This window comes from Homo sapiens, chromosome 1 (assembly GCF_000001405.40).
Source record: "Homo sapiens chromosome 1, GRCh38.p14 Primary Assembly".
Classification (NCBI taxonomy): Eukaryota; Metazoa; Chordata; class Mammalia; order Primates; family Hominidae; genus Homo; species Homo sapiens.
The window spans coordinates 17,486,829-17,498,076 of NC_000001.11; the positions used below are offsets into that span (position 1 = coordinate 17,486,829).

At 48.2% G+C, this 11,248-nt stretch overlaps 3 annotated features.

Annotated features, from left to right (window-relative positions):
- Positions 767-1,410: an enhancer, noted in NCBI's record as "H3K27ac-H3K4me1 hESC enhancer chr1:17814091-17814734 (GRCh37/hg19 assembly coordinates)". NCBI's record gives its function as "activates a minimal SCP1, AML or CMV promoter by ChIP-STARR-seq in naive H9 embryonic stem cells {active_cell/tissue: H9 hESC(naive)}" and the evidence as "EXISTENCE:reporter gene assay evidence [ECO:0000049][PMID:30033119]".
- Positions 1,163-1,232: a silencer, noted in NCBI's record as "silent region_344". NCBI's record gives its function as "represses an Ori minimal core promoter by ATAC-STARR-seq in GM12878 lymphoblastoid cells {active_cell/tissue: GM12878}" and the evidence as "EXISTENCE:reporter gene assay evidence [ECO:0000049][PMID:35858748]".
- Positions 7,602-7,744: a silencer, noted in NCBI's record as "fragment chr1:17820926-17821068 (GRCh37/hg19 assembly coordinates)". NCBI's record gives its function as "represses an EF-1alpha promoter that drives an FKBP-Casp9 reporter gene in an ReSE screen in phorbol 12-myristate 13-acetate-treated (for megakaryocytic differentiation) K562 erythroleukemia cells {active_cell/tissue: K562(+PMA)}" and the evidence as "EXISTENCE:reporter gene assay evidence [ECO:0000049][PMID:32094911]".

Consider the following 11,248-nt stretch of genomic DNA (forward strand, 5'->3'; position numbering starts at 1 on the left):
TTATAAGAGAACTTTGCTGCTCCCAAGAGCTTGCTCACCCTTCTGCCATGTGAGGACACACAGAGGAAGCGCCATCTATCAACCAGAAGAGGGGCCCTTGGCAGACACCGAACCTACCAATGCCTTGATCTTGGACTTTTCAGCTGCCGGAACAGTGAGAAATAAATTTCTGTTGTCTATGGTATTTTGTTATAGCAGAGTCGATTATAACTGAGCTGATTAAGATGCTGGTCCCAGGTCACGTATCTGGGTGATGACAAAGTTAGGAATAAGACGTTGTTGGCAAGACCAGCACCCATTCCCACACCCAGTTTGTTATTGCTTTTCTTTTTTTTTTTCTTTTTGAGACAAGGTCTAGCTCTTACGCCCAGACTGGAGTGTAGTGGCAAGATCTTGGCTCACTGCAACCTCTGCCTTCCAGGCTCAAGCTGTCCCCACCGCAAACTCCTGAGTAGTTGGGACTACAGGCGTGCACCACCACACTAGGCTGATTTTTGCTTTTTTTTTTTTTGAAACGAAGTCTCACGCTGTCACCCAGGCTCGAGATCAGTGGCGCAATCTTGGCTCACTGCAACCTCCACCTCCTGGGTTCAAGCGATTCTCCTGCCTCAGCCTCCCGAGTAGCTGGCCTTACAGGCGCAAGCTGCCATGCCCAGCTAATTTTTTGTATTTTTGGTAGAGATGGGGTTTCACCGTGTTGCCCAGATGGGTCTCAAACTCCTGAGCTCAGGCAATCTGCCCGTCTTGGCCTCCTTGGCCTCGCAAAGTGCTGGGATTACAGGCATGAGCCACCCCACCTGGCCTTTCTTTCTTTTTTTTTTGGAGATGGAGTTTCACTCTTGTTGCCCAGGCTGGAGTGCAGTGGTGTGATCTTGGCTCGCTGCAACCTCCACCTCCCAGGTTCAAGTGATTCTTCTGTCTCAGCCTCCCAAGTAGCTGGGATTATAGGCGCATGCCACCATGCCTTGCTAACTTTTGTATTTTTAGTAGAGACGGGGTTTCGCCATGTTGGCTAGGCTGGTCTCGAACTCCTGACCTCAGGTGATCCACCCACCTCGGCCTCCCAAAGTGCTGGGATTACAGGCATGAGCCACCACGCCCGGCCTAGGCTAGGGGTTTTTCAGATAGTTTGGTGGGCAGGGAGCCAGGGTAGGGAATGTGCTGATTGGTTGGGTTGAAGATGAACTCACAGGGAATGAAAGCTGTTCTCTTGTGCTGAGTCACTTCCTGGGTGGGGACCACAGACTAGTTGGAGGGTCCAGGTGGGGCCAGCTGGTTGTCAGAAATGTAAAAACTTGAAAAGACATTTGAAAAGATCAATGGGGCTGGCCGCGGAGGCTCACGCCTGTAATCCCAGCACTTTGGGAGGCCGAGGCGGGTGGATCACCTGAGGTTGGGAGTTTGAGAACAGCCTGACCAACATGGAGAAACCCCATCTCTAGTAAAATTATAAAATTAGCCGGGCATGGTGGCACATGCCTATAGCCCCAGCTACTCAGGAGGCTGAGGCAGGAGAATTGCTTGAACCCAGCAGGTGGAGGTTGCAGCAAGCCGAGATCGCACCACTACACTCCAGCCTGGGAAACAAGAGTGAAACTCCGTCTCAAAAAAAAAAAAAAGAAGAAAAGGTCAATGGTAGGTTCTACCATAGTGATGTTCTCTGCAAGAGTAATTGGGGAAGTTGCAAACCTTAGGACCTCTGAAATAATGGCTGAGAATTATTTAGAATTCTGGCACCTCTCAGCCTCCTAACTCGGTGGCTTTTTTTTTTTTTTTTTTTTTTGAAACAGGGTCTTGCTCTGTCGCCCAGGCTGGAGTGCAGTGGCCTGATCTTGGCTTGCTGCAACCTCTGCCTCCTGGGTTCAAGCAATTCTCCTGCCTCAGGCTCCTGAGTAGCTGGGACTACAGGGGCCCACCACCATGCCTGGCTAATTTTTGTATTTTTTAGTAGAGACAGGGTTTCGCCATGTTGCCCAGGCTGGTCTCGAACTCCTGACCTCAGGTGATCTACCTGCCTCGGCCTCCCTAAGTGCTGGGATTACAGGTATGGGCCACTGTGCCCGGCCAGGAGGTTGTTTAGCCGCATCCCTGGCTTCATACTAGATGCCGAAGCACCTACCTCTTCCAGTTACAAAAATAAAAAATATTTCCTGGACATTGACAGATGTTCCCTGGGGGCCAAATCACCATCCCTCTCCCAGTTAAGAATCACTGAGTTACTGGAAAGAATTGTTTTCAGCTGTGGTGGTCAGAGCTGGGGTGCTGGCATGGGGCCTGTATAGGGGAAGGTGGCCAGAACCAGATGTGTAGCTTTGATTGTAACACTCAAGCCGACTTTACAGCCATGTGTGTTTTATATCTCCATGGGGCCTCAGAGACTGACTTCTTCACCCTACCGCATTTGTAAACTGTCCTGGGGATGGGGGAGGATTCTGAGGAGAGCATTTCCAGGCTCGCTTGCGTACAGTGAAAAGTGATGACAGTAAGTGATGTCTTGGTTAATGAAGAAAGGTCTCATTCTATGGAGGGAAAGAGAAGGGTGAATCTGGGATTGGATCCTGTCCCAGGTCTACATGACTGTGTGACCTCAGGCAAGTGACTTGGTTTCTCTGGGTTAGGAGGATCAAATGTACCCAGAGATGGGAAGGTGCCTAGTAGAGTGTATGGCCTGCAATTGGCCTGCCTAGTAAATGCAAATTCGTCATTGCTACCCTGGACCATGATTCTGGGCACAATTGCAGCAAAAGTTTCCTAATAGCCTCATGATGTTGAGCTTTCTGGAAAAACAAAACCAAATGTGAAGATCATCTGTCCACCCAGTGGTCAGGTGGTGTTTGTTTCCAGAAAGTACAAAAATCAAAAGGTTAGAAGGGAGTCTGAGAGGTCATTTAATAGCTTTTTGCTTTGTGCTGAACTGGCTCAAATGTTCTTAGAAAATTTGATGTTTCTCCTGGGGTTGATTTAAAGAAAAACACAAACGTACAGATGTACACACACATGTTGGCTTTTGCAGAAAGGAGGTTTAACTACTAAATTCTGTGGGTTTTATTTTTTATTTTTTTGGAGATGGAGTCTCGCACAGTCACCCAGGCTGGAGTACAGTGGCGCAATCTCTGCTCACTGCAACCTGCAACCTCCGCCTCCCGGGTTCAAGCGATCCTCAGCCTCCCGAGTAGCTGGGATTACAGGCACCCGCCACCACGCTCAGCTATATTTTTGTATTCTTGGTAGAGACGGGGTTTCACTATGTTGGCCAGGCTGGTCTTGAACTCCTGACCTTGTGATCCGCCCACCTTGGCCTCCAATGTGCTGGGATTATAGGCGTGAGCCACCACATCCAGCTGTTTTGTTTTGAGACAGGGTCTTGCTCTGTCACCAGGCTGGAGTGCAGTGGCGCAATCTCCGCTCACTGCAACCTTTGTCTCCTGGGTTCAAGTGGTTTTCCTGCCTCAGCTTTCTGAGTAGCTGGGATTACAGGACTGCACCACCATGCCTGGCTAAATTTTGTACAGACAGGGTTTTGCCACGTTGGCCAGGCTGGTCTTGAACTCCTGGTCTCAAGTGAGCCGCCCACCTTGGTTTCCCTAAGTGCTGGGATTACAGGCATGCACCACTTCGCCCGGCCTAAATTGTGTGTTCTTGATTTCTAGTGCTGAAAACACCTTTGTAAACTATGCAGTGGCCGGGCGCTGTGGCTCACGCCTGTAATCCCAGCACTTTGGGAGGCTGAGGCAGGCGGATCACCTGAGGTCAGGAGTTTGAGACCAGCCTCAACATGGAGAAACCCCGTCTCTACTAAGTACAAAATTAGCCGGGCGAGGTGGTGCATGCCTGTAATCTCAGCTTCTCAGGAGGCTGAGGCAGGAGAATTGCTTGAACCTGGGAGGCAGAGGCTGTGGTGAGCCGAGATCGTGCCATTGCACTCCAGCCTGGGCAACAAGAGCGAAACTCCGTCCCAAAACAAAACAAAACAAAACAAAACAAAACAAAACAAAACAAAACAAAAACTCTGCAGTAAGAGAACTGACATGGCTGACTCCATCTTGCTTCTAGCCTCAGAGGTTGCCTGCCTTTGCTCATTTCTGGCCGTGGGCCAAGCTAACTTTGGGAGAAATTTACCTTTTAGTTTAAATGATAACAGCCCTTCCCCCAAAACTGTTCACATAAAACTAATGAAAAGCCACCAAATTAGGAGAATGAGAGGGGCCTGAATTAATAATAATTCCCAGCCGTTATTCCAGAGGTTCTAAGATTTGCAACTTCCCTAATTACTCTTGCAGAGAACATCACTATGGTAGAACCTAAGATTGGTCTTTTGAGATGTCTTTTCAAGTTTTTGCATTTCTTTTTTTTTTGAGACAGAGTCTCGCTCTGTCACCCAGGCTGGAGTGCAATCTTTGCTCTCTACAACCTCCACCTCCTGAGTTCAGGTGATTCTCCTGCCTCAGCCTCCCGACTACCTGGGGTTACAGGCATCCACTACCATGCCCAGTGAATTTTTTTGTTTTGAGACAGAGTTTTACTTTGCTGCCCAGGCTGAGTGCATTGGCAAGAACTCGGCTCACTGCAACCTCCACCTCCCAGGTTCAAGCAATTCTCGTGCCTCAGCCTCCTTAGTAGCTGGATTACAGGCACCTACCACCACGCCCAGCTGATTTTTAGTTCTTTTTAGTACAGACAGGGTTTCACCACCTTGCCCAGGCTGGTCTCAAACTCCTGAGCTCAGGCAATCTGCCCGTCTTGGCCTCCCAGAGTGCTAGGATTACAGGCATGAGCTGCTGCGCCTGGCCTTTTTTGTTTTTGTTTTTGTTTTTTGAGGTGGAGTCTCTCTCTGTTGCCCAGGCTGGAGTGCCATGGCATGATCTCGGCTCACTGTAACCTCTGTCTCCCAAGTTCAAGTGATTCTCCTGCCTCAGCCTCCCAAGTAGCTGGGACTACAGGCGTCCATCATCATACTTGGCTAATTTTGTATTTGTAATAGAGACGAGGTTTCACCATGTTGGCCAGGCTGGTGTCCAACTCCTGATCTCAGGTGATCCATCCGCCTCCACCTCCCAGTGTTGGGATTACAGGTGTGAGTCACTGTGCCCAGCCCATGCGAATATTCTTAATTCATGGCAATTGTTTTACTTGCCTGCTTTCCAGCTAGGTAAGGCCTGGGGACATGTGGAATTGGCAATGCCCTAGCTATGCTGAAAACAGTCAAATCTTATCAGAACATAACTTACCAGGTTTTACATTACAGTTAAAATTGCCAAAGAGTCACCATTGTAACATGCAATCAAGACTACTGGAAATATGGCTGGGCATGGTGGCTCACGCCTCTAATCCCAGCAGTTTGGGAGGCTGAGGCAGGTGGATCGCCTGAGGTTAGGAGTTCGAAACCAGCTTGGCCAACATGGTGAAACCCCGTCTCTGCTAAAAATATAAGGATTAGCTGGGCATGTTGGTACACGCCTATAATCCCAGCTACTGGGGAGGCTGAGGCAGGAGAATTGCTTGAACCCGGGAGGTGGAAGTTTCTGTAAGCTGATATCATACCACTGCATTCCAGCCTGGGTGACAGAGCGAGACTTCTGCAAATAGATTTACATGCAAGGTGTATAAGAACAGTAAAATGTGTTGTGGTTTTTTTTTTTTTTTGTAAAAGGTTATAAGAAGGCATGGAAATGTAAATTTTGCCTAGGGTTAAATGATTGTTTTGAGTTAGATAGAAAAAGCTGAAGGTTCAAAGAAGTGGTAGAAGAATTGGCAAAATTAATTTGCAGAAGAGGTTCTCTGTGTGAACATATTGACTAAATTCAAAAGGGTTATACAAAGTTTTTGCTTCTTTAAAATTTCTGAGTCATCGTTTTGGCAAAATAAAGAACTTACGGTAATCTGGAATTCCAAAATCAAACTTCAGTTTCAAAATTGTCTTTCCTAATGCCTGGCTTTTTGGATGGATCAGAGGGCCACTGAAAACATCCAGAAAGGAGGTAAACAGGATTATTCAACATGTTTAGGTACATGAGATTGCCAAAATGATGCTCAATCTTCTTTTTTTTTTTTTAATCTTCCCCAATTTAAATCTTTTAATTTAAAAGTAAACTTTACTGTCAAAAATGCAAACTTGGGGAGGGCAGAAAGATCACACACAAGGCTGCCACTTCACACCTGGAGGGTTGCACGGCGACCAGGCAGAGGCACTCCTCACTTCCCAGACAGTGCAGCGGCCAGGCAGTCAATCTTCTTTAGGTTATATTTTTGTGAATAGTACTAATATATATTCCAAAATGGTATGGGATTTCTAAAATTCCAATGTCTAAGTATATGCTATCAATTATAATTATGGCTATTATGCTAAGTTATTGTAAACCATAGAAGTAACCAAATTTGCCAGGCGCTGTGGCTCACGCCTATAATCCCAGCACTTTGGGAGGCCGAGGTGGGTGGATCACGAGGTCAGGAGTTTGAGACCAGCCTGGCCAGCATAGTGAAACCCCATCTCTACTAAAAATACAAAAAATTAGCCGGGCATGGTGGTGAGTGCCTGTAATCCCAGCTACTTGGGAGGCTGAGGCAGGAGAATCACTTGAACCCAAGAGGCAGAGGTTGCAGTGAGCTGAGATTGTACCACTGCACTCCAGCCTGGGCAATAGAGCGAGACTGTTTCAAAAAAAAAAAAAAAGACAATGAAAGGTGGATTGGGTGAATTAGGCAGCACACCCACACATAAAGTCATAATTTTTCTATTAGCTCCCTTCCCTAACTCTTTTCCTTCCCCTCTGCTCACTCTGATCCAGCCACACCTGCCCCCTTGCTGTTCCTTGGTCTGTCTCACCTTCTGTGTTCAGAGCCTTTGCCCTCTCTGTTCCTTTTGCCTGGAAGGCACTTCCCCCTGAAATTCCTTGGCTTATCAGAGCCCTCATTTACATTTCACTTCTGTGGGTTTTCTTTTTTCTTTTTTTTGAGATGGGGTTTTGCTCTGTCACCCAGGCTGGTGTGCAGTGGCACCATCACAGCTCACTTCAGCCTTGATGTCCGGGGCTTAAGGGATTCTCCCACCTCAGCTTTTCAAGTAGCTGGGATCACAGGTGTGTGCTATCATGCCTGGCTAATTTTTTAATTTTTTTTTGTAGAGTGGGGGTCTTTCTATGTTGCTCAGTCTGGTCTCAAACTCCTTGGCTCAAGCGCTCCTCCCTCCTTGGCCTCCCAAAGAGTTGGGATTACAGGCATGAGCCACTGCATCTGGCTCTTGGGTTTTCTTGATATCATGATCAGGGTGGCCTGTGACAACTACCCTGGCCAATGAAGCCTAAATTGTTTTGGTCCCAGAGACTTGAACTGAATCAGGCTACCTTTCATTCAATGCAGATCACCTCCTCCAGGAAGCCCTCTCAGACTGCCCAGGCTAGGTCAGGTGTTTCTCCCCAGCCCTCTGCTGATAACCCTTTCAAAATGGTTCATTTCCTCTGAGGGGATAAGAGAGGGGTGATGACTCATCCATTTCAGCATCCCCAGTGCCAGGCAAGGCCCAGAGGAGGTGCTCAAGAACCTGCTCTAGGCCAGAAGCAAAGGGAGGAAAGGAAGGCTCCTTTTGCTGGTCTTTTCCCTGCTGCCAGCAGAGGGCGCCTCCGCACCACGATTCTGCCCAGGTGGGTCCAGCCTCCAGTGGGGCCACAGCCAACCTCCTTGTCCTCAGGAGGCTTCCGGACAGAGGGGAGACCTCCTTTGTTCTCTGAGAACAAAGTGCTCAGGCCTTGGGTGCAGACACTGCTACCTGTGTGATCTTGGAGTCTGTGACTTTCCCATCTGACCCTTGATTTTCTCATCTATAAACTGGCTGTATTACCTTGGGGAGTTTGTGAGCTAATAAAATCATCAGTGCAGTGCTGAGCTTAGAGGCACCGCTTGCTAGCTGGGTAACCATGGACTAGTGATTTTGCCTCTCTGTGCCTCAGTTTCCTCGCCTGCAAAATGGGGATAATTGTAACCACCTCATAGGGCTGTTGGGACAATTAAATGAGTTATTCTATAAAATATGAAGCAGAGCGTCAGGCACATGGCCAGGGCTGTGTTATTATTTCCCTTTATTATCATTGCTGGTTGATGAGAGAATGTCCCAGCTCCAACTTTCACCTGCCATGTTGCACCCATGATGACTCCAGGGTAGAGGCTGTGACACCTTTTTTTTTTTTTTTTTAAACAGAGTCTTGCTCTGTTGCCCAGGCTGGAGTGCAGTGGCACGATCTTGGCTCATTGCAACCTCTGCCTCCTGGGTTCAAGCAATTCTCTTGCCTCAGCCTCCCAAGTAGCTGGGATTACAGGCGCCTGCCACCATGCCCTACTAATTTTTGTATTTTTAGTAGAGATGGGGTGTCTCCATGTTGGTCAAGCTGGTTTCGAACTCCTGACCTCATGGTCTGCCTGCCTCAGCCTCCCAAAGTGCTGGGATTACAGGCGTGAGCCACCGTGCCTGGACTTTTTTTTTTTTTTTTTTTTATCTGAGATGGAGTCTCGCTCTGTCACCCAGGCTGGAGTGCAGTGGCAAGATCTCGGCTCACTGCAACCTCCAGCTCCTGGGTTCAAGCGATTCTCCTGCTTCAGCCTCCCGAGTACTTAGGATTACAGGTGCCCACCACCACGCCCAGCTAATTTTTGTATTTTTAGTAGAGACAGGGTTTCACCATGTTGGACCAGGCTAGTCTCGAACTCCTCAGGTGATCCGCTCGCCTCGGCCTCCCAAAGTGCTGGGGTTACAGGCATGAGCCACCACGCCCACCCTTTTTTTTTTTTTTTTTTAGATGGAGTCTCACGCTGTTGCCTGGGATGGAGAGTACAGTGGCGCAATCTTGGCTCACTGCAACCTCTGCCTCCCAGTTTCAAGCAATTCTCCTGCCTCAGCCTCCCGAGTAGCTGGGTTACGGGCGCCTGCCACTACGCCTGGCTAATTTTTGTATTTTTAGTAGAGACAGGGTTTCGCCATGTTGGCCAGGCTGTTTCAAACTCCTGACCTCAGGTGATCCGCCTGCCTCAGCCTCCCAAAGTGCTGGGATTACAGGTGTGAGCCACTGTGCCTGGCCTGATTTTTAAATTTTTTTGTAGAGACAGGGTCTTGCCATGTTGCCCAGACTGGTCTCGGACTCCTGAACTCAAGCCATCCTCCTCCCTCAGCCTCCTAAAGCATTGAGATTACAGGCGTGAGCCACTGTGCCCACTCAGTCTTTTTTTTTTTTTTTTTTGAGACAGAGTTTCACTCTTGTTGCCTAGGCTGGAGTGCAATGGTACGATCTCGGCTCACCGCAACCTCCGCCTACCAGGTTCAATCGATTCTCCAGCCTCAGCCTCCTGAGTAGCTGGGATTATAGGCATGCGCCACCACGCCCAGCTAATTTTTGTATTTTGAGTAGAGATGGGATTTCTCCATGTTGGTCAGGCTGGTCTTGAAATCCTGACCTCAGGTAATCCGCCTGCCTCGGCCTCCCAAAGTGCTGGGATTACAGGCGTGAGCCACCGCACCCGGCCCATGGCATCTTAACATTGGAGAAAACAGCAGAAGCAGATGGGCAGTCTCTCACCTTTGCCTCTCCCTTCTTCCCTGATCAGACCATAAAGCTTTCACTGGGGAGGTGCCCTCTCTATTCCCAAAGGAAAGGAGCCAAAGACACAGAGATGCCAAGAAGAATCTGAACAATCAGGCCTTGCTAAGTCCCATTTCCACCGTCCTGCCACCCCTCACCGCCCCCTATCTATTATCATTAGATCAGACTCTTTTGTTCTCCAATTATACTTCTTCACAACTGCCTACTCTTCATCAAACCAAAGCAGAAAAGCACACAAATTTACCTGTTTCTTCTTCTTCTTCTTTTTTTTTTTTCTTCTGGAGACCATGCCTCACTCTATCACCCAGGCTGGAGTGCAGTGGCACAATCTCGGCTCACTGCCACCTCCACCTCCTGGGTTCAAGCAATTCTCATGTCTCAGCCTCGGGAGTTGCTGGGACTACAAGTGCGTGCTGCCACACCTGCCTAATTTTTTATATTTTAGTAGAGACAGGGTTTTGCCATGTTGCCCAGATAGGTCTTGAACTCCTGGGCTCAAGCAATTCACCCACCTCGGGCTCCCAAAGTGCTGGGTTTACAGTTGTGAGCCACCGTGCCTGGCTACCTGTTTCTTTTCTTTTTTTTTTGAAATGGAGTGTTGCTCTGTTGCCCAGGCTGAAGTGCAGTGGCGCTATCTTGGCTCACTGCAATTTCTGCCTCCTGGGTTCAAGCAATTCTCCTGCCTCAGTCTCCCGAGTAGCTGGTACTACAGCTGCATGCCACCATGCCGGGCTAATTTTTTGTATTTTAGTAGAGACAGGGTTTCACCATGTTGCCCAGGCTGGTCTTGAACTCCTGAGCTCAGGCAATCCATCTGCCTCGGCCTCCTGAAGTGTTAGGGTTACAGGTGTGAGCTGCCGCACCCAGCCGTGTTTCTTCTTTTTAAAAATCTTTTCTTGATAGCTTTTGGGGTACGAGTGTGTTTTGGTGACATGGATGAATTGTACAGTGATGAAGTCTGAGATTCTAGCGCACCTGTCACCCAAGTAATGTACATTGTACCCAGTATGTACAATGAGACCCTCTTTTTTTATCCCCTCCCATCCTCCCTCTTCTGAGTCTCCAAAGTCCATTATACCACTCTATATGCCTTTGCATACCCATAGCTTACCTCCCACTTATAAGTGAGGACATACAGTATTTGGTTTTCCATTCCTGAGTTACTTTGCTTAGAATAATGACCTTCAAATAATGGCCTCCAGCTCCATCCAAGTTGCTACAAAAGACATTGTTTCATTCTTTTTTATGCCCAAGTAATGTTCCATGGTGTATACGTACCACATTTTCTTTATCCACCTATTGGTCAATGGGCACTGAAGTTGGTTCCATATCTTTGCAATTGTGAAGTGTGCTGTAATAAATATATGCATATAGGTATCTTTTTTTTTTTTGAGATAAGAGTCTTGCTCCGTGTAGAGTGAAGTGGCACAATCTTGGCTCACTGCAACTTCTGCCGCCTGGGGTCAAGCAATTCTCCTGTCTCAACCTCCTGAGTAACTGGGATTACAGGCTTTTTTGTATTTGTAGTAGAGACAGGGTTTCACCACGTTGGCCAGGCTGGTCTTGAACTCCTGACCTTAGGTGATCCGCATGCCTGCCTTGGCCTCCCAAAATGCTGGGATTACAGGTGTGAGCCACAGCACCCAGCCTAATGACTACTTTCC